We start from the raw sequence: 22894 nt of genomic DNA, 5'->3' as shown, positions 1-22894 counted from the left end.
GATCATGAGGTCAGGAGATCGAGACCATCCTGGCTAACAAGGTGAAACCCCGTCTCTACTAAAAATACAAAAAATTAGCCGGGCGCGGTGGCGGGCGCCTGTAGTCCCAGCTACTCGGGAGGCTGAGGCAGGAGAATGGCGTGAACCCGGGAAGCGGAGCTTGCAGTGAGCCGAGATTGCGCCACTGCAGTCTGCAGTCCGGCCTGGGCGACAGAGCGAGACTCCGTCTCAAAAAAAAAAAAAAAAAAAAAAAAAAAAAAGAGTGTTTCCTACAAGCTGTTGATACTGTCATGTTTAAATATCATTAATGAGTGAGGTGTGAACCACAAAGGTGCATTCAAGAAGGGAGCAGTTCACAGACTCACTTTGCACCTGGCTGCAGCCTCATGGGGGTGCTTTTTCCATGTGCCAGGGAAACATTCTGGGGTGTTGTGGCTGCCTGACCTATCAAGGGTGATGCAGCTGTCTGGGGATACAGGATAAAAAAAAAAAAAAGAAAAAGAAAAAAGAGAGGAGAGCAGTGCGGCAGCAGGGGAGGGATACTTAGTTCAGTAAGGAGGATTCTGATTGCTCGGTGGATCCAGATACAGCTGGATGCTGGCACTTCCCCACCATGTGTACTTCTTGTCTTTCACCTTCAGCTCATATTCTGACAGTTTTTCTGTCAGCTGCATCAAGCTTTGTCTAAGGTGGTGTGTTGCTATCTACCTCTTTATATCTTGGACCTAAAAAGTACTTTTGCCATTTATTCTATATTCTGTAACTCTTGCATATAGTAGGCTAATGCCATTGTCTGCACCTCAGATCCTACCTGCTCAAAAAGAACTTTGTTGTATTTCTTGCTATAGAACCCTGATATTTAAAAGTTACATACAATTTAAAAATACTTTTGTTGCAAAGAGGGATTTTTAAATAAGCTTTTAAGAAGTTTCCTTATTTTATCTTGGTTTTCATGTTATAGCCTACTTATTAGTACTCTTCCCTGTTATAAACTTAAACAATTTTCAAGTCTCTTAAGATGGCCCAATACATTTTTTTGTCTCATTTGTATTATTAGTTTAATAATAATTATCTGCATCCTATTTTTATGGAAATACGTGAGATATAAGTAGTTCTAGTCAACAGGGTATTTGGGAGTTTGTTTCATTACCATGGTACATTGGGTTTTTTTAAGCTAAATATGATGATAAATTGGCTTATTAAAATAAAAATGGGGTTGGGCGGTGAGTGCGGTGGCTCATGTCTGTAATTCCAGCGCTTTGGGAGGCTGAGGTGGGGGTCCCTTTGAGCCCAGGGTTTTGAGAACAGACCGGGCAACATAGCAAGACCTCATCTCCAAAATAAAATAAAAATCAAGCAGGAATGTTTTTTCTGGAATTATCAAGGACTTAACAGTGTAGCCATGATATGGAAATGATATCCAACCACTGGAGAACTCCAGAGTAACAGACCTTCTGGAAGAACCCAAAGGTTGAGCTGCAGGCAGAAGTTACTGAATGGGCTGTGGCTGAAGGTTTCTGAAATGATACATTCTGGCTAGACCTACTTGTAGGCAAGAAAGCATTTGGAAAGTATTTAGAGCTTTTGGCAGCTTGTTTTGCTCACAGCTAGTTAGAAAATAGAAAAGGACAAGTTGGAAGGGAAATAGTGGTAACGCTGACTGCTTGCTTGTTTTTCTTAAAGAAGCGCTTGTGATTAAAATAACTTGTGGCTGATTTGATTCCTTTACATACCTCCTAAAACAGCTTCTTCCATTTCCTGCATAAACCTATGAGAACAATCCATCTTTTAGCTTCGTTTTTCCACATACCATTCTCCTAATGAAGAAATGAAGATGACTTGTATGATGAAGTCAGCCCACATGCAAGCATTTCCCTGTCACCGCCCCTCCCTTTCAGCCTGCCACCTCTGCATGCTTTCATTTCTACTTGGAAAGTCCTCTTTTTTTTTCCTGCTGCTAGGCCTATTATCTCCTTCTGTGTCTTCTCTTGAAGCCGCCTCATTTTGGTACCTCCCCTTCACATTTTTGTACTGTGTCTTTTGAAGTGTCTTATGTTGATGAATACGGGCATCGGCCTGTTCTGGTGTTTTGGTACAGATGCTGCCTCGCCAGCTGGAGGCTTGTAAGATTCTTGATGACTGGGCCACCACATTTCTTCTTCTTCCTCTTCTTCGTCTTCTCCTCCTCCTCCTTGTCTTCCTCCTCCCTTTCTCCCCTTCTTCCTCCTCTTCTTTTTTTCTTCCTTTGTCACATTTACCACCACCTTTGCCCAAGCAAGATTCTTCATGAGAAAATGATTGGATTAAAAGAAGAAAGTACTGGGCCCAGGTGCCCTAAAGGAAACGATAGCTTTCCAAAATGTATTTTTAACAATTTCAAACACAGTGGGTATGGGTATCAGATCCATGAGAGAAAAACAAGAGCATGTGCCTCCTTTTAGGCCATCTTCTTTGACACTGTTTTGTTTGTTGCCTTTTTTATAGACAGGGTCATGCTCTGTTGCCCAGGTTGGAGTGCAGTGGTGCGAACATGGCTCACTGCAGCCTTGACCTCCCAGCTCAAGCGATCCTCTTGAGTAACTGGGTCTACAGGCGTGCGCCACCATGCCCAGCTGATTTTTAATTTTCTTGTAGAGATGGCGTCACTCTGTGTTGCCCAGGCTGGTTTTAAACTTCTGGGCTCAAGCGATCCTCCCGCCTTAGCCTCCCAAAGTGCTAGAATTACAGGTGTGAGCCTCTGTACCTGTCCCTGTTTGTTGCTTTATCCCCAACACCTAGGACAATTCCTGGCTTATAGTAGGTACTTAAATATTTGTTGGATGGACGGACGGACGGACGGATGGATGGATGGATGGATGGATGGATGGATGGATGGCTCAGTATATGTCCTAGGATAAGTTTTCTTATTTGTATTTTATAAGGCTTATGGTAGGGCACCCTGAGATGTTTTGAACGGAAGAAATGTCTGACTGGAATTGTACTACAGGAATGTCCATCTCTCTGAGGCATGAAAGAATGATGGTATAGGGGCCAGGTGTGGTGGCTCGTGCTTGTAATCCCAGTACTTTGGGAAGCCGAGGCAGGCGGATCCCTTGAGGGTCAGGAGTTCGAGACCAGCCTGGCTGAACATGATGAAAACCCAAATTATTAAAATTACAAAATTTACTGAAATTTACTACTAAAATTACAAAAATTAGCCGGGCGTGGTGGTAGGCACCTGAAATCCTAGCTACTCTGGAGGCTGAGGCAGGAGAATCAATTGAACCCAAGAGGCGGAGGTTGCAGTGAGCCGAGATTGTGCCACTGCACTCCAGCCTGGGCGACAGAGTGAGACTCTGTCTCAAAAAAAGAACGATGATGTAGGAAGGTTCTCATGAAAGGAAGCTGCAGTTCTTAGGATTTTCAAAGGAAAAGGTTTTAGAGGTGCATGTGTGGTGGTGGGTGGTGTATGTATACAGAACATTAGAAGTAGTGGGGACGTTAATTCTTCCTCAGTTTTTCCTCATTTATTTGAAGAGAATTACTTTTTTTGAAAAATGTGTGAATGTTTATGTCAAAACTGTATTGCGCTAACTTAATCTGCTCTATTTCTGTTCCAGGAGGCTGAACAGTACCCAGGGGGAGATTCGTGTCGGTCCTAGTCATCAGGTGAAGTTCATTTTCATAGCTTCCTTAATAGGTTTTTGTTTCTTATTACTCTGCTGGCACTTTATTCTGTTGCGCAGCATCTTAGAATGTGGTTATTGCTATCGGGAATTTTTTATAAATACAGAGGTTTTTTTTCCACCCTCCTCAGATCACCACATACATTTACCATCTCCCATTTTTAAGTGCAAAGTTCAGTAGTTAAGTACATTAATATTGTTGTATAGCCATCACCGTCATCTATCTCCAGAACTCTTTCTATCTTGCAAAACTGAAATTCTGTACCCGTAAACAGTAACTCCATTTCTCTTCTGCAGCATTGGCAATCACCATTCTCCTTCCTCTCTCTGTTTTTGACTGTTCTGCCTCATAAAAGTACCTCATGTGAATGGAATCATACAGTATTTGTCTTTTTGTGCCTGATTTATTTCACTCAGCATAATGTCCTCATGGTTCATCCGTGTTAATAGCATGTGTCAGAATTTCTATCCTTTTTAAGGCTAAATGACCCATTGTATGTACGTATCACTGTTTATCTATTCATCCATTGATGAACACTTGATCACATATTTTTATTTAAAACATTTTTAAAGCCAGGCACAATGGCTCATGCCTGTAATCCCAGCACTTTGGAAGGTTGAGGTGGGCAGATCTCTTGAGGTCAGGAGTTCGAGACCAGCCTGGCCAACATGGCAAATCCCATTTCTACTAAAAATACAAAAATTAGCCGGGCGTGGTGGCAGGCGCCTATAATCCCAGCTTCTTGGGAGGCTGTGGCAGGAAAATCACTTGAACCCCGGAGGCGGAGGTTGCAGTGAGCCAAGACTGTGGCCACTGGACTCCAGTCTGGGCAACAGAGCAAGACTCTGTCTCAAAAAAAAAAAAAAAAAAAGATAAAAGATGTTTAAAACCTCTTTTCCCGGCTGGGCGTGGTGGCTCTCGCCTATAATCCCAGTACTTTGGGAGGCTGAGGCAGGCGGATCACCTGAGATCGGGAGTTTGAGACCAGCCTGGCCAACATGGTGAAACTCCATCCCTACTAAAAATAGAAAAATTAGCTGGTCATGGTGGTGTGCGCATGTAATCCCAGCTACTCAGGAGGCTGAGGCAGGAGAAATCACTTGAACCCAGGGGGCGGAGGTTGCAGTGAGCCAAGATTGCGACACTGCACTCCAGCCTGGGCGACAGAGCGAGACTGTCTGCAAAAAAATAAACAACTTCTTTTCCTTCAGGAGAGTCAAGATGGTTAGGACACTTTTCAGTCAGAGGGTTGCTGTGTCACGACTGTTGCTCTTTCTTATTTCATTGCATTTATTACAGCTCTTTGGTTTTTGTTGTTGTTTTTACGTTTTTCAGAGACAGGTCTCATTCTGTTGCCAAGGCTAGAGCACAGAGGCACGATCACGGCTCACGGCAGCCTTGACCTCCTCCTGGGCTGAAGCAGTCCAACCTGCCTCAGCCTCTGAGTAGCTGGGACTAAAGGCATGTGCCACTGGGCCCGGCATATTCTGTTTTGATCTCAGTATCAGTTAGGATGCTTTCACTGACAGGACTCTGGCTCTGTTTCTGTCTCCCATGTCATGACATCCTGGTCAGGCAGGACTGGGGCTCTGCTGTGCTTCTCTGAGACTCTCTTGTACCCAGCTGGCCTCCATGGAGGTGGCGTCATCCTCAGCTCAGTTTGACTAATTCTAAGATACACTTTTTTCCTTCACATTTGCTCCTATAGTTGGGCTTCATTGTACATTCTGTGGTGTGGTTATAATTTATTGGCTATATTTTATCCTTTCTCAGTGCACATAAAATAACAGTGGATCTTACAATGAATGAAATTTAGCAAGTGTTGAGAGGAAGAAAGAATTGGACTTCTTTTCCCCTTAGGAGCAAGGAAAATTTCCCCAGCAGGTCCCCAGTAGACCCACATATTGTTGCCATGGATTGGGTCATGTGTCTATTTCTAAACCATGAGGAAAGAGTTTAACATGATTAGCACTTGAGTTGGAATGGATGCTGGGGAATCCACAGCTAAGGCCATCATGTCTAAAGACATGGGATACAGGCAGCAGTGAGCCTTGGAAGTGCATAGAGATTTCAGTCGTCTGTCTAGTTATTATTTCTGTCTAGATTTTGAGCATTTCTAAATTGTGTGTCATTTACATTTTTAAATAACCTATTTTAACTCTGTAATGAAAGAACTTAAGAAGTGAAGGAGTTATGAAGTGAAGTGAACACAAAAACTATCAGGGTCACATAGTTTATAGAAGATACTTCTCATCCCAGACCTGGGGTTATAACTGATACAGACTGAAAGAAGCTGCAGGAGGACAGTGTCTGCTTGTTCAAGTAGAGTCTTTTGTTGGTGTGTTCCATTAGGTGGGCCTGACTGCCACCTCGGGGCTGTATTTTCGGTCTGGGAACCTGATACTCAACCTAATGCCACTCAGTTTCGTCTCCCATTCTCTACTTTCTCTTGCACTGTATTTTACTACCCATTTTTTCCCTCTCACTGTGTATTTCCAGTGTCTTGAGATCTTTGTACCAGACTTTTATTTTATAGATTTTTTTTTTCCTACCATAAAAGAAAATGTAGTTCCTAAGGAAAAGATGCTTACATTCTTGGAAAAGGAGCAAATTTACTGTGATTGGATTTTTGTATACCACCATTTAAAATCAGATGTTTGGTTTTTTACATCAGATTTTAAATGTATTCTGTGTGCTTCATTTTCAAAAAGAAATGTTTTGGAGCACCAAAAATAATAAAACTTTTAAAAATGAATTGGCAACATTTACCTTTTTAAAATTTTTGACTTTTGGCTCACGCCTGTAATCCCAGCACTTTGGGAGGCCAAGGTGGGTAGATCATTTCAGCTCAGGAATTCGAGACCAGCCTGGGCAACATGGCAAAACCCCATCTCTACAAAAAATACAAAAATTAGGTAGGCATGGTGATGCATGTCTGTAGTCCCAGCCACTCAGGAGGCTGAAGTGGGAGGATTGCTTGAGCCTAGGCGGTTGAAGCAGCACTGAGCCACGATCACACCATTGCACTCCAGCCTGGTGACAGAACCAGTCTTTAAAAAAAAAAATTAACCTTTTTATTAGGAAAATATTAACATATACAAAAGCAGGGAAAGAATAATACAGTAAAGTCCTTCTCTTCATTACTCAGCTTCCTCAAGTATCAAATCCTAGTCAAACCCATTTCATTTATTCCCCCTCACACCTCTTCCTGCCGTTATTTTAAACGCCTCACAAATACATCATTTTCCTTGTAGATGTTCCAAAAATAAGGGATTTGGACACAATCACAATATATCAGAACATATAAAAATTACCAATTTCTTAATATTCAAGTGTATACGATGCCCAGATTTCCCTAATTGTCTGTCTGTATCTTTCTCTCTTTCTTTATATTTTCATAGTTCAAATTAGAATCTAAATGAGAGCCATTCATTGCAGTTGGTTGATACATCTCTTAAATCTCTCTTAATTCCCAGGTCCTTCCCCTAGTCCCCCAGTGTATGTGGTAAAGAAGCTATTTCATCCTGTAGGGTGTTCTGCAGTCTAGATTTGGCTGATTGCATTAAATTTGTTACTTTGCTCTTTGCATGACTTGAGAATTAGTAGTTAAATCTAGAGGTTCGGCCTCATTCTAGTTTGGTACCCTGCCTTCCAGAAAAATGCTTCCTGGGTGGTGGTAAGTGCTTCTGCCAGGAGGCTCATATGTCTCTTTTTTAATTGTAATTAGCAGCCACTGATCATTTATTTTTTTTTTTTGAGACGGAGTCTCACTCGGTCGCCCAGGCTGGAGTGCAGTGGCACAATCTTGTCTCACTGCAACCTCCGCCTCCCGGGTTCAAGCCATTCTCCTGCCTCAGCCTCCTGAGTAGCTGGGATTATAGGCGCCCGCCACCACACCTGGCTACTTTTTTGTATTTTTAGTAGAGACGGGGTTTCACTATGTTGGCCAGGCTGATCTCGAACTTCTGACCTCATGAAACACCCGCCTTGGCCTCCCAAAGTGCTGGGATTATAGGCCTGAGCCACCGCGCCTGGCCACCACTGATTATTTCTTAGATCCATTATTTTATTAGGGATTTCAAAACAGTGATATTCTAATTCTGCCATCCATTTATTCCTTGTACAAATAAATGAAACTTCACCCTTATCTTTCCATGGTTACCAGTGGATTTTATTTTTTAATCTATAATCAACTTTAATCAGTTCTTATTGATGATTAAAAGATCCATTTTGGGCCAGTAGGAGCATCTTCCTTCGTATTTGTCCTTTTCACTTAATCCCAGTGGTTTTTGTCCTTTTCACTTAATCGTTTTTCTCTAGTAAGACATGATTTTACTGCCTCACCTTATACATTGTCTTCCCTAGATGTGGAATTAAACTTGTCTCAGAAGAGCCCTCTTTTATTGTAGTGGGAAGTGGTATTTACATACTGGGTGCTGGGGTATTCATTCTTACTGGGTTGGTTGCTATTTCGAGGCCTTTTCAGTAGACAGAATAGGAAATAGGTGTTTTATTTCCCTACTTTCTTAAAGATAAAATACATTCTAAATTTATGCTGATACATCCAATTCAAATTCAGATTTTTCTATGGCCTTTATACTAATTCTGTCCTTCTTTTATGTATATCTTTATTTTTTTCCCGTGACTCAAATCCCATTTTTTAATGACACCAACAAAATTACTTATTTGCTTCAATTCCATAATACACATATAACAGCCCAGAATAGCAATAATCACATGGCTACAAACAGTATGCTTATTGAAAACAGCTTGGTATTGCATTTTGTTATGTATATCCTGCCAGGGCTGTATAAGCAAATTAATATATCTTAGAGTTACTTGAAACAGTTCCTAGAGTAGAACCAGCTCAATTGTTGCATTTCTTTCCATTTGGTGTAGTTTTAATGAGATTATTATTATTTAAGCTTCTTATTTTCATTCCCTCTGCCCCTTCTTAGATAAATAATAACATAATATACATCCTTTTGCTACCTTTCTTTTAACAGTATATTCTTGTGTTCTCCTCATAGCAGTATATAGAGCTCCTTCTCATTCCCTTCTATAATACTATTTCATAGAACTCCATGTATGAATGTAGCAGTTTATTCATCTGATCCCTATTAATAGGCATATGAGTTGATTCCAGTCATTTGCCATTACATGTAATGCTGCAGTGAATAGCCTGTGCATATAGATTTTGATGTTTTTGCCAGTGTATCTTGGGGCTATATCCCCAGAAGCGGGATGGCTGACTTAGAGGACAAGTGCATATATAATTTTGGGGGTTTTGCCACATTCCCCTCCACAGAGATTGTATCAGTTTGTGTTGACACTAGCAACTAATATGAGTGCTAATTTTTTTCGTGGCTTTATGTGTTGTCAAACATTTGGCTTTATGTCAGTATGATAGATGCAAAATTGAATATGTGCCATTAATTTGCATTTCTGTTGTCAGAGAGGTTGACTCATCAATTCTTTTTTATTTATTTATTTATTTATTTATTTATTTATTTATTTATTTTTAATTGATCATTCTTGGGTGTTTCTCGCAGAGGGGGATTTGGCAGGGTCATAGGACAATAGTGGAGGGAAGGTCAGCAGATAAACAAGTGAACAAAGGTCTCTGGTTTTCCTAGGCAGAGGACCCTGCGGCCTTCCGAAGTGTTTGTGTCCCTGGGTACTTAAGATTAGGGAGTGGTGATGACTCTTAACGAGCACGCTGCCTTCAAGCATCTGTTTAACAAAGCACATCTTGCACCGCCCTTAATCCATTTAACCCTGAGTGGACACAGCACATGTTTCAGAGAGCACAGGGTTGGGGATAAGGTCACAGATCAACAGGATCCCAAGGCAGAAGAATTTTTCTTAGTACAGAACAAAATGAAAAGTCTCCCATATCTACTTCTATCCACACAGACCCGGCAACCATCCGATTTCTCAATTTTTTCCCCACCCTTCCCGCCTTTCTATTCCACAAAACCGCCATTGTCATCATGGCCCATCCCCAATGAGCCGCTGGGCACACCTCCCAGAAGGGGTCGTGGCCGGGCAGAGGGGCTCCTCACTTCCCAGTAGGGGCGGCCGGGCAGAAGCGCCCCTGACCTCCCGGATGGGGCGGCTGGCCGGGCAGGGGGCTGACCCCCCCACCACCCTCCCGGACGGGGCGGCTGGCCAGGCAGAGGGGCTCCTCACTTCCCAGTAGGGGCGGCCGGGCAGAGGCGCCCCTCACCTCCTGGATAGGGCGGCTGGCCGGGCGGGGGGCTGACCCCCCCACCACCCTCCCGGACGGGGCGGCTCGCCAGGCAGAGGGGCTCCTCACTTCCCAGTAGGGGCGGCCGGGCAGAGGCGCCCCTCACCTCCCGGACGGGGTGGCTGGCCAGGCGGGGGGCTGATCCCCCCACCTCCCTCCCGGACGGGGCGGCTGGCCGGGTGGGGGGCTGACCCACCACCTCCCTCCCGGACTGGGCGGCTGGCCGGGCAGAGGGGTCCTCACTTCCCAGTAGGGGCAGCCGGGCAGAGGCGCCCCTCACCTCCCGGACGGGGCGGCTGGCCAGGCGGGGGGCTGACCCCCCCCACCTCCCTCCCGGACGGGGCGGCTGGCCGGGCGGGGGGCTGACCCCCCCACCTCCCTCCCGGACGGGGCGGCTGGCCGGGCGGGGGGCTGATCCCCCCCACCTCCCTCCCGGACGGGGCGGCTGGCCGGGCGGGGGGCTGACCCCCCCCACCTGCCTCCCGGACGGGGCGGCTGGCCGGGCAGAGGGGTCCTCACTTCCCAGTACGGGCAGCCGGGCAGAGGCGCCCCTCACCTCCCGGTCGGGGCGGCTGGCCAGGCGGGGGGCTGATCCCCCCACCTCCCTCCCGGACGGGGCGGCTGGCCGGGCGGGGGGCTGACCCCCCACCTCCCTCCCGGACTGGGCGGCTGGCCGGGCGGGGGGCTGACCCCCCACCTCCCTCCCGGACTGGGCGGCTGGCCGGGCGGGGGGCTGACCCCCCACCTCCCTCCCGGACGGGGCGGCTGGCCGGGCAGAGGGGTCCTCACTTCCCGGTAGGGGCGACCGGGCAGAGGCGCCCCTCACCTCCCGGACGGGGGGCTGATCCCCCCACCTCCCTCCCGGACGGGGCGGCTGGCCGGGCAGAGGGGCTCCTCACTTCCCAGTAGGGGCGGCCGGGCAGAGGCGCCCCTCACCTCCCGGACGGGGCGGCTGGCCGGGCGGGGGGCTGACCCCCCACCTTCCTCCCGGACTGGGCGGCTGGCCGGGCGGGGTGCTGACCCCCCACCTCCCTCCCGGACGGGGCGGCTGGCCGGGCAGAGGGGTCCTCACTTCCCGGTAGGGGCGACCGGGCAGAGGCGCCCCTCACCTCCCGGACGGGGCGGCCGGCCGGGCGGGGGGCTGACCCCCCCACCTCCCTCCCGGACGGGGCGGCTGGCCGGGCAGGGGGCTGACCCCCCCTCCCGGACGGGGCAGCTGGCCGGGCAGAGGGGCTCCTCACTTCCCAGTAGGGGCGGCCGGGCAGAGGAGCCCCTCACCTCCCGGACGGGGCGGCTGGCCGGGCGGGGGGCTGACCCCCCCCCCCCCTCCCGGACGGGGTGGCTGCCGGGCGGAGACGCTCCTCACTTCCCAGACGGGGTGGCTGCCGGATGGAGGGGCTCCTCACTTCTCAGACGGGGCGGTTGCCAGGCAGAGGGTTTCCTCACTTCTCAGACGGGGCGGCCAGGCAGAGGCGCTCCTCACATCCCAGACAGGGTTGCGGCCCAGCAGAGGTGCTCCTCACATCCCAGACAGGGCGGCGGGGCAGAGGCGCTCCCCACATCTCAGACGATGGGCGGCGGGGAAGAGGCGCTCCTCGCTTCCTAGATGGGATGGCGGCCGGGCAGAGACGCTCCTCACTTTCCAGACTGGGCAGCCAGGCAGAGAGGCTCCTCATATCCCAGACGATGGGCGGCCAGGCAGAGACGCTCCTCACTTCCCAGACGGGGTGGCGGCCGGGCAGAGGCTGCAATCTCGGCACTTTGGGGGGCCAAGGCAGGCGGCTGGGAGGTGGAGGTTGTAGCGAGCCGAGATCACACCACTGCACTCCAGCCTGGGCACCATTGAGCACTGAGTGAACGAGACTCCGTCTGCAATCCCAGCACCTCGGGAGGCCGAGGCTGGCGGATCACTCGCGGTCAGGAGCTGAGACCAGCCCGGCCAACACAGCAAAACCCCGTCTCCAACTCATCAATTCTTATGATTAAGAGGCATTTTCGTTTCTTTTTCTGTAAACTGTCTAATTATATTTCTAGTCCATTTTTCTCAAGAATGGGGGGGAGGTTGGTCCTGCTCACAGTAATAGTACTTTTCGATTAATAACAGACATTAGAGAACTGCTGTACCCAGTACTGTACTCGGTGCTGGGGAAGCAGAACTCAGTACTAGTGTCAAAGACCTTTTGACTCCAACATTTGTTGTGTTATTGTTGTTGTTATTATTATTGTTGTTATTATTTTGAGACAGAGTCTTGCTCTGTCACCCAAGCTGGAGTGCAGTGGTGCAATCTCAGCTCACGGGAACCTCCGCCTCCCAGGTTTCAAGCGATTCTCCTGCCTCACCCTCCCAAGTAGCTGGCACTATAGGCGTGTGCCACCACGCCTGGCTAATTTTTGTATTTTTCGTAGAGACAGGGTTTCACCGTGTTGGTCAGTCTGGTGTCGAACTCCTGACCTCAGGTGATCTGCCCGCCTCGGCCTCTGAAAGTGCTGGGATTACAGGCGTGAGCCACCACGCCAGGCCCATTGTGTTTTAATTTTATCCCACTATTTTCACTATGTGTTAAGCAGAACTAATTGTGACACTCAGTTCAATGTTAGAGAAGTCAATACTTAACCAAAGAAGAACATCCTTGCTTGGAGAAAGTCAGCTTGATACACATTTAGAGGCATGGAAGACAGCCTGTAAAGCTGTGTGGGTGCTGATGGCTAGCCTGAGAGCCACATGGCCTACTAATGTGATGTTTTGCTATGCAGTTGCCTCAAAAACTTGAATACCAACATTTAAAACCACAAACTTTTACATAAATGTGAAGATTTCTGGAATTTGGAAAAAGATGGAGGATGTACACACACTGGGTCCCATTCCTGTGTGGCAGCATTCCCTGGATGGGGCGGTTCTATCTCCATTTCCCCGTGGTCCACTTCACTCTTGAGTTCTTCACACCTGCACATCCAGGTCGGGAGCCACTGCCACACATAGCTGTTCAGCACTTGGAATATGGCTAGTCCAGATTGGGATATGGCATTTTGTTTAACGTGACTACTAGAATATTTAAAATTAAATATATAATTCTTATTTTATTTCTGTTGGATGGTGCTGGCTTATATTCAGCCTGCTGCATTCACTTAAATTGTTTGCCCAGGCTTCATGTCCCATGGAGCTCTATCAGACTCATGTGCCCATGGTCATCATTTGACAGGATGAGAACATGAGTATCTTGCAAATATCTGACTTTTCACAGGTCTCTGCTGGTTATGGTGGTCATGGCACCTGCTTGCTCTTGCTCTGTCCCAGCAGAGTGTGGGTGAGAAAATGCCACAGGTATTTAAATCTGATCACTTACAGTCTTGGTGGGGAGCACTGTTGCTCGAATATTTTTTTAAATTCTTTTTATTGAGGTATACTCTATGTACAGCGAATTGTTCGTATCTTATGTATGCTTTTCAATCTGCCGTGATGATTCGTATCAAGGCACAGAACATTTCTGTCATCCCAGAAAGGTCCTTCCTGTTCTTCACAAGCAATTCCTTCTTTCGTAAAGAAATCACTGCCCTGATTTCTGTTACCACAGGTCAATTCAACTACATATGTGTGTGTGTGTGTGTGTGTGTGTGTGTGTGTGTGTATATATTTATTTTTTTTTTTTTATTTTTTTTTTTTTTGAGATGGAGTCTTGCTCTGTCACCTAGGCTGGAGTGCAGTGACACAATCTTGGCTCACTGCAACTTCTGCCTCCCGGGTTCAAGCGATTCTCTTGCCTCAACCTCCCAAGTAGCTGGGATTACAGGCACATACCACCACGCCTGGCTAATTTTTGTATTATTAGTAGTGACGGGGTTTTATCATGTTGGCCAGGCTGGTTTTGAACTCCTGACCTCAGGTGATCCACCCACCTCAGCCTCCCAAAGTGCTGGGATTATAGGCGTGAGCCACCATGCCCAGCCTCAACTATATATAAATTTTTAAAATTTAATTTAGTTTAATTTTATTTTATTTTTGAGATGGAATTTCGCTCTGTCTCTCCCAGGCTGGAATGCAGTGGCACGATCTCAGCTCACTGCAACCTCTGCCTCCCGGGTTTAAGCAGTTCTCTGCCTCAGCCTCCTGAGTAGCTGGAATTATAGGCGCCCGCCACCGTGCTCGGCTACTTTTTGTATTTTTGGTAGAGACAAGGTTTCAGCATCTTGGCCAGGCTGGTCTTGAACTCCTGACCTTGTGATCCACCCACCTCGGCCTCCCAAAGTGCTGGGATTACAGGCGTGAGCCACCAGGCCTGGCCTCAACTATATTTTTTAATGTTTACTTAATACTCATCTAGTTTTGGTATTGACCATGACTTATATTGCTATTGACTGTCTTAAGAGTAACACTATTCTAATAGGATAGCTCACTTAATTTTTTAGCAAATATCCTTAGGTGAGGTATCATTTGCATATGTCTTCTTTGTCAACTTGTTATATTGGAAATGTATGTGTGTTTCCTTCTTTATCAATAGCTGTTATCATCTAAAGACATTATTTTGTTTTTTTGTTTATTTTATGCATATGTGTGTGCTTCAGTTTTACTCTTGGTATCATGCTGGCACTGGTTTACTTTGACACTGTTAAGCAGATATTAAGCAGTCTATTGTGAAATCTTCTATGGTGAAATGATCCTGACATGTGAAATAGGTCAGTTTAAATGACTCATGGTTTTGTTGTTATTTTTCTGCTGTCCAAGGAAAGAGTCTCAGTAAAACATTGTATATGTTCCTAAAGACTGCTTATTGAGATAGCTCTTTATAATTAATACATGCCTTGATTGTGACTTACTCATCCCTGTCTTACAGGCCAAACTTCCAGATCTGCAACCATTTCCTTCTCCAGATGGTGATACAGTGACCCAACATGAGGAACTGGTCTGGATGCCTGGAGTTAACGACTGTGACCTCCTTATGTACTTGAGGGCAGCAAGGTAATAGGAATCTACCCCCATCCTGCTTTCTGAATTAGACCATCTGAACTGATTATAGGCAGTAAACTTTGCATTTCCCCTGAGATTTTATTTCTATATTGGGCGTTCTCTGACTTTAAGTTTGGTTACACCCTCTGTAATCGGGACCCTGGCTCTTCTTACCAGAGAAAAATAGTTTGAAGTAATTTTTTTCATGATGAAGTAATGTTTTTCTTCTTGGTGTTTGCCCCACATCAAATTTTGGAACTTTTCAAGAGGAAAACAGCTTAGGCCATACATACAGTTACCAAAACCTCTCAATCCAGTTGAGTACTTCAGTCATTCAGCTCATCTGAAAACCCCACTACAGAGGGGTGGGGGTGAGGGGAGGGAGAGCATTAGGACAAATAGCTAATGCATTCGGGGCTTAAAACCTAGATGACGGGTTGATAGGTGCAGCAGAGCACCACGGCACACATATACCTAATGTAACAAACCGACACGTTCTGCACTTGTATCCTGGACCTTAAAGTAAAATTTAAAACAAAAACAAAACCCTCTACAGATTTCATGTTCTGTCTCTACTTTGTGGCTGTTCATTAGTGCCTGTCCTGAACTTGACATTTTTGTGGCTTGCCTACATGAGAATATTTATCTGTGATCACCCTCGTGGCAGTTGCATAGAACATACAAATGCCTTCGATGCAGAGAGAAGTGTGAATTCGCTCCTCACACGGCACAGAGCGGGCACCACAGAGCGGTCGTCACAGAGCAGGTGTCACAGAGCAGGCAGGCAGACTTTGTATGTAGTGATTCTGGGTCTTGGCAACGACAACAAAAACATGAAAGCAAGGATTAGGGCATCTGAATTTTAACCCTGGATGGGTTTGTGGGTTTCTTTTTTTTCTTTTTTTCTTTTTTTTTTGGTTGTTACTTGTTTTGTTTTTTTGAAACAGGGTCTTGCTGTGTCACCCAGGCTGGAGTACAGTGGCACAATTATAGCTCACTACAGCCTTAACTTCCTGAGCTCAAGCGATCCTCCTGCCTCAGCCTCCTGAGTAGCTAGGGTTATAGACCCGTGGCACCATGCCCGGCTATTTTTAATTTTGTTTTTGGTTGAGATGGGGTCCTTTCTGTGTTGCCCCAGTTACCTGGCTGTTTTCTAGTCAACGGTGTTGTGCATGGTGGCATTCAGTAGAGATGAGAATGTGTAAGTGGAGTGAATGACTAAGAGGTTTTATCTCTGGTTTCTCACCTTTTTTTTTTTTTTTTTTTAAGACAGGGTCTCACACTGGAGTGCAGTGGCATAATCATGACTCATTACAGCCTTAACCTCCTGGGCTCAAGTCATCCTCCCACCTCGTCCTCCCCAGTAGCTAGGACTACAGGCATGCACCACCATACCTGGCTAATATATTTTTTTTCTCTCTCTATGTTGTCAGGGCTGATTTTGAACTCTCTGGCCTCAAGCAGTCCTCTGGCGTCAGGCTCCCAGAGTGCTGGGATTACGGGCATGAGCCATCACACCCAGCCATGATTTTTTACTTTTAATTCACCTAAAGGTAGTTGATATGCAGAATGAGAGGAATTAAGTAAAATTTTAGATGACTTAATTTCACATGTTTTCTGGAGACTTTTCTTTCAGAAGATTGTCATCTACTGAAATATTGTGGCTCATAGATTTAGATTCTTCATGCTCTCAAATCTAAAATCTTAGTACTGCTAAAACGTGGGAAGAAACAATACAAATGGATCTGACTAAAAGTAACATATGTCTTTCTGCGTGAGTGAAGAGGAACTTAAATTTATTTTTGGTCTGGGCGTGATGGCTCACGCCTGTAATCCCAGCACTTTAGGAGGCTGAGGTGAGCAGATCACCTGAGGTCAGGAGTTCGAGACCAGCCCGACCAACACTGTGAAACCTTGTCTCTACTAAAAATACAGAAATTAGCTGGGCATGGGGTGTTCCTGTAATCTCAGCTACTCGGGAGGCCGAGGCAGGAGAATCCCTTGAATCCTGGAGGTGGAGGTTGCAGTGAGCCAAGATTGCGCCACTGTACTCCAGCCTGGATGACAGAGTGAGACTCCATCTCAAAAGAAAAAAAAAAAAAAATAGGAGCAGAGGCAGAGCTGGGAACTGGTTCATCATGCGTGTAGTAATGGAATTTGTTCTGGGCTGGAAATGTCCTCTGAAAATTGAAGGTCTAAGTCTCTGTCCTGATATTACTATGTACTAATAAAGGAAAAACCTTTTCTTCTGAAGGAGCATGGCGGCATTTGCAGGAATGTGTGATGGAGGCTCTACAGAGGACGGCTGTGTCGCAGCCTCTCGGGATGACACCACTCTGAATGCACTGAACACAGTAAGTCTTTTGAAGTCACCCTGAGTGGGAAGACACTTCTTTTTCCCCTGAACTGGCTGTAGGGAATGTGTGATGAGTGCGGAGCATGAAGTCGCCTGTAGACTCAGGAGTGAGTTGTGGTCTTGGCTGTTGGGTGCCATGGGGGCTCCAGGCCAGTGATGTGGCACCTGCAGGTTCATTTCCTAATCTGTGTCTGTGCTGCAGGTTTGAGGTGACTCTCAAATGAGATCCTAATAATAGCACCTGATACTTAACTGAGGCCTCACAAAGCCAAGTACTGTGCATAGAAGATCTTGCTTAATCCTCACAACCACCTCTAGGTTCTATTTTTATTTTTATTTATTTTTTATTTTTTTGAGATGGAGTCTCGCTCTGGCAGTGGCGCGATCTCAGCTCACTGCAAGCTCCGCTTCCCGGCTTCACACCGTTCTCCTACCTCAGCCTCCGGAGTAGCTGGGACTACAGACACCCACCACGCCCAGCTAATTTTTTGTATTTTTAGTAGAGACGGGGTTTCACCATGTTAGCCAGGATGATCTCAATCTCCTGACCTTGTGATCCTCCCACCTCGACCTCCCAAAGTGTTGGGATTACAGGCGTGAGCCACCACGCCCGGCCTCTAGGTTCTATTATTATCACCTTTTTAGACATAAGGAAATAAGTTGAGAGAGATTAAGTCACAATTTAAGGTCATACCCCCAAGATTGGAATCTAGAAGCCGTGTTTTTGTACTTCACTGTTTCTGAGACCATGTATTTATTTTAAAGCACATGGAGGGATGGGAAGAAGCTAAACTTTTTTGCATAAACTTGTTTTTTATAAAGTATACTTTGGAACATGTTAATATTTTACATGACTATAAAAAGTTTTACACGAATAATTTCTAAAAAATTAAAAGTAAAGGGAAATGAGGCTAATGTTACTGAGTTGGTTGCATGACATACCATCATAATTACTCATCTACTTTAATCCCATAATAAACACACAGCAGCTCAGATAACAACACACTGCTGCAAACAATATGATTACTGAAACCAGTTGTCTTTCGTTCTTTGTTTGTTGTTGTTGTTTTTATTTGTTTTGGCCTTAGGCTATATCCCATGGGGCTGTATAGGAATATTAATGTATTTTAAAGTTACATGAAATAATTCCTCTCTATCATTACTAATGTGAAACCATTAAATCTGAAGAGCTAATGATATTTATGGAATCAATTTCTGATATATTGATAGTCTGCATCGTTGTGTATGTGTATGTAGGCTGTTGAGTATGAGGCTAAGCACCTCTTCTGATGATTAACCAAATGTCATTTAAGCACCCCTTTGTTCTTTTTCTTTTTTCTTTTTTTTTAATTTCTTGAGAGGTCACTATAGTTAGAAGAGACTTTCAAGATCATCTGTCCCAGTTTCTAAATAGGAGAATCCGAGGCGGCTAGATGACTTAAATACTGACAGTCCCAAAAGTTCCTAACAGAGGGAAGAAAGTAGTCCCCATTCCTGATTTAGAAATCTACTGTGCAGCTTGCTTTTGAGGAAACGTAGATATCTGCGTGATATGGCTGATTTTTATTCCTAGTATAATTAGGTTTCTTGAGTATGATATAACATTTGAGTGGTTTTGCTAGGGATATGCCATTCTGTAAATAAGAGAATGTTTTTTCACATTGTCATAAATATTGTGTGTTTGTGTACATTGTCACTGATTCGATAGGATAGTTAGTGGGGATTTTTTTGTTGGTTAGTTTTAAATACAAAATCTTTATTTTGAGCATATGATTAAGCCAGAAGGGGCCTTTAAGATTATTTTACAGATGAGGAAGCTGAAACTCAGAGGTTGATGATACTACTGCCCAGTAGAGGCTGTGGTAGGTTAGATATGAATGTCTGTGAATTCAGAATACCTTAAAAGTGTGTGTACAAAGAGAAAGTCTTTGATAGGAACTTTTTTCTGTTGTTGTTGTTTGTTGTTGTTTTTTCTTGAGGCAAAGTCTCGCTCTGTCACCCAGGCTGGAGTGCAGTGGCACAGTCACAGCTCACTGCAGGCTCACTGCAGGCTTGACCTCCCAGGCTCAAGTGATCCTCCCACTTCAGCTTCCTGAGTAGCTGTAGCTGGGATTACAGGCATGTGCCACCGCACTCAGCTAATTTTTGTTTTTGAGACCATCTTGCTCTGTTGCCCAGTCTGGAGTACAGTGACACAGTCTTGGCTCACTGCAGCCTCAACCTCCCAGGCTCAAGCTTTTCTCCCACCTTAGCTTCCCAAGAGCTGTAGCTGATATCATAGACGCCCACCATCATGCTTGACTAATTAAATAAAAATTTTTTTTGTCAAGATGAGGTCCCACTGTATTGCCCAGGCTGGTCTCGGACTCCTGGGCTCAAGTGATCCTCCTGCCTCGGCCTCCCAAAGTGCTGGGATTACAGGTGTGTGCCACTGCACCTGGCCTTTTTTTAAGTTTTATTTTTTTTGTAGAGACATCGTCTTACTTTGTTGCCAGGGCTGATTTCAAACTCCTGGTCTTAAGTAATCCTCCTGTCTCAGACTCCCAAAGTGCTAGGATTACAGGCATGGGCCACCATGTCTGGCCAGTTGTTCTCTGTATAAAAGCTTTGTGAAAAAAATCCTGCTTTCATAACTGTGCTATCAGTTGAATTTTGAATAATGAAGATCTTGCCATATTTAATTAAATGTCTATTTTTGGCACTTTCTTGAATGTATATGATTTATTCCCCTTTTTATTCCAAACTCTCTTAAGAATTCTGTAGACCATACTTCAGTATAGAAATCATTTTGGCTACTTTTGCCCATGGTTCTTTGTGGCAAGCTCCTTCTGAAGGTTTTGTTAGCACTCCCAGAGATTTTTTTGTTGTACAATTTTTCATTTTTATGACACTGAAACTCTTCAGACTAGCCTGACATGGCTCAGGTGTCTTAGGTTATGTGTACATATTTTGTGATGAATTGAAAAGTTATGTGCTGTTTTAATTTTTGTACTTCACTGTTGAACTGACTCCGAAAACTTCAGTTGCAAGCATTTTCCTAATGAAAAATGAATGAAAATATCCTGTGAGAGAAGTTACTGGGATTTTTTACTTCCCTAGAGTAATAGAAGATTTGAGCTGTGTTAAGTAATAAGTTAAAAAGATATATACATTGTTGTGTGGAAAGCATTTATTGTTTTCTTAGAGTATAGCATAGATTTAAAACAAGGTTAGGCATTTATCAGTTTAGAAGAAACCTGTGAGTAATTAGTGTATATTTCCTGCTTCCTAGGGCAACATAGAACTTAAATGAAATAGGCTATATGGCCACATTAAAGTGTGTTGAACATCCAGTAGGAGTATTTAAATACGAGTAAATTTAAATAAATCGTTTCATTTTTAAAACTGCAATTGGTTTAGAAAATTTTTGAGCTGTCAGTTCTTTTTTGTTTGTTTGTTTGTTTGAGGCAGGATCTTGCTCTGTTGCCCAGGCTGGAGTGCAGTGGTGGATCACGGCTCACTGCAGCCTTGACCTCCTGGGCTCAAGCAGTCCTCCCACCTCAGCCTCCAGAGTAGCTGGTACCATAGGTGTGCACTACCATGCCCAGCTGTTTTTCTTGTTTTGTTTTGTTTTTTGTTTTTGTTTTGAGATGGAGTTTTGCTCTTGTTGCCCAGGCTGGAGTGCAATGGCGCAATCTTGGCTCACCACAACCTCCCAGGTTCAAGCGATTCTCCTGCCTCAGCCTTCCGAGTAGCTGGGATTGCAGGCATGTGCCACCAAACCCGGCTAATTTTGTATTTTTAGTAGAGACAGGGTTTCGCCATGTTGGTCAGGCTGGTCTCGAACTCCCGATCTCAGGTGATTCACCTGCCTTGGCCTCCCAAAGTTCTGGGATTACAGGCGTGAGCCACTGCGCCTGGCCCAGCTGGTTATTTTTACTTGCAGAGATGATGTCTCACAATGTTGCCCAGAGCTATCAGTTCTTTATGACAATTATGTGGACCTATTTTTGAATCTAAGCTCTTAGATTACTTATTTTTATTCTGTTTTTTCTTCATTATTAACAAAAGAGATTGCTAGTGTGTAATTTTTGAAACAACTTATTGAGGTAAGATTTATGTATAATAAACTGCTCTGTTTCAAAGTAAAAAATTTGAGGGTTTTCAGATATATAAATCTGTGAAACTACTTATAAATCTGTGAAACTACTATAATGTCAAGATACAAAACATTTCCAACACCCCCAAAAGTTGCCTCATGGCCTCTTATAATCATTTTCTGCTTCCAGCCTCAGATAGCCATTGAAGTATCGTGTTTTCAATGTTTTTTTTATTTTTTTAAAATCATTTTGGAGTAGTTTGCATTTCGCGGAATGTTACAGGAATGGAATCATATTGTGTGACTTCTTTGGGCATAAGGATTTTGAGAGCCAGTTGTGTTTCATGTATCGATAGTTCATCCCCTTTTTATTGATAAGTATTCCCTTGTATGGATATGCATATTCACAATTTTTTCATATTCTTTAACCTTGTTAAACAACATTCTGGTTGTTTATAAGCTTTTGGCCATTATAAATAAAAGTTTTTTCAACATTGTTGTATGAGTCTTTATGTTGACATTTATCTTCAGTTCTCTCAGGTAAATACTTGGAGTGGCAGGATTGTTTGTACGTAGGAAGCTCTCTCAGAAACTGTCAAACAGGTTTCTTTTCTTTTCTTTTCTTTTTTTTTTTTTTTTGAGATGTTGCCCAGGCTGGAGTGCAGTGGTGCGATCTCGGCTCACTGCAACCTCCTCCTCCCAGGTTTAAGCAGTTCTCCTGCCTCAGCCTCCTGAGTAGCTACAGGCATGTGCCACCACGTCCAGCTAATTTTTTTGTATTTTTCGTAGAGACAGGATTTCACCACGTTGGCCAGGATGGTCTTGACCTCTTGACCTCGTGATCCGCCCGCCTTGGCCTCCCAAAGTGCTGGGATTACAGGCGTGAGCCACTGCGCCTGTTCTGTCAAACAGGTTTTTTTTTTTTTTTTGAGACAGAGTCTCGCTCTGTCGCCCAGGCTAGAGTGCAGTGAGTGGTGCGATCTACGCTTACTGCGAGCTCTGCCTCCCGGGTTCACGCCATTCTTCTGCCTCAGCCTCCCGAGTAGCTGGGACTACAGGCACTCGCCACCACGCCTGGCTAATTTTTTGTATTTTTAGTAGAGATGGGGTTTCACTGTGTTAGCCAGGATGATCTCGATCTCCTGACCTCGTGATCCTCCCACCTGGGCCTCCCGAAGTGCTGAGATTACAGGCGTGAGCCACTGCGCCCGGCCTACAGGTTTCTAAAGTGGTTCCAATTTAGATTCCCATCAGTAGTGTGTTATAATTTTACGTCTTTAGCATCTTCACCAAGACTTGGTGTTGTCAGTTATTTTTTTTTAAATTTTATCCATTTTAATGGATGTGTAGTCTGGTATCTCATTGAGGTTTTATTGGAATTTCCTAATTTAATAGGGTTGAGCATCTTTTCCTGTTTTATTGCCCATTTGTTTATCTTTTTTTGTGAAGCCTCTGTTCAAATAGTTTGTTTACTTAAAAAAATTTGTTTTACAATTTAGTTATAAGGATTGTTTGTTAATATTTCAGGTAGAAGTCCTTTGATATATGTATTGGGAATTATTTGTCCCATACCATGACTTTTTTTCATTCTTTTAAAAAAAT

The 22894-nt window shown here is 44.8% G+C and overlaps 1 protein-coding gene and 2 non-coding genes across 4 annotated transcripts in view, besides 3 other annotated features; all 3 read left to right on the top strand.

Annotated features, from left to right (window-relative positions):
• RERE (arginine-glutamic acid dipeptide repeats) overlaps positions 1-22894 on the top strand; it is a 465237-nt gene that overhangs the window by 305366 nt on the left and 136977 nt on the right. For both annotated transcript variants that reach the window (NM_001042681.2, NM_012102.4), the window contains 3 exons: positions 3600-3648; positions 14746-14870; positions 17113-17212. In NM_001042681.2, the coding sequence (NP_001036146.1) occupies positions 3600-3648; positions 14746-14870; positions 17113-17212 (274 nt within the window). The remainder of the gene's footprint in view (positions 1-3599; positions 3649-14745; positions 14871-17112; positions 17213-22894) is intronic.
• Positions 356-480, top strand: LOC124900452 (small nucleolar RNA SNORA77). Its single transcript, XR_007067405.1, has one exon. It is a non-coding gene; the product is annotated as a small nucleolar RNA SNORA77 (small nucleolar RNA).
• Positions 2308-2808: an enhancer, noted in NCBI's record as "H3K4me1 hESC enhancer chr1:8569526-8570026 (GRCh37/hg19 assembly coordinates)". NCBI's record gives its function as "activates a minimal SCP1, AML or CMV promoter by ChIP-STARR-seq in naive H9 embryonic stem cells {active_cell/tissue: H9 hESC(naive)}" and the evidence as "EXISTENCE:reporter gene assay evidence [ECO:0000049][PMID:30033119]".
• Positions 7053-7962: an enhancer, noted in NCBI's record as "H3K27ac hESC enhancer chr1:8564373-8565281 (GRCh37/hg19 assembly coordinates)". NCBI's record gives its function as "activates a minimal SCP1, AML or CMV promoter by ChIP-STARR-seq in primed H9 embryonic stem cells {active_cell/tissue: H9 hESC(primed)}" and the evidence as "EXISTENCE:reporter gene assay evidence [ECO:0000049][PMID:30033119]".
• Positions 9107-9790: an enhancer, noted in NCBI's record as "NANOG-H3K27ac-H3K4me1 hESC enhancer chr1:8562545-8563228 (GRCh37/hg19 assembly coordinates)". NCBI's record gives its function as "activates a minimal SCP1, AML or CMV promoter by ChIP-STARR-seq in primed H9 embryonic stem cells {active_cell/tissue: H9 hESC(primed)}" and the evidence as "EXISTENCE:reporter gene assay evidence [ECO:0000049][PMID:30033119]".
• Positions 17362-17475, top strand: SNORD128 (small nucleolar RNA, C/D box 128). The gene has a single exon (NR_132752.1). It is a non-coding gene; the product is annotated as a small nucleolar RNA, C/D box 128 (small nucleolar RNA).

The sequence above is a fragment of the Homo sapiens genome, chromosome 1, assembly GCF_000001405.40.
Source record: "Homo sapiens chromosome 1, GRCh38.p14 Primary Assembly".
Lineage (NCBI taxonomy): Eukaryota > Metazoa > Chordata > Mammalia > Primates > Hominidae > Homo > Homo sapiens.
This window is presented reverse-complemented; position numbering and strand designations above follow the sequence as displayed.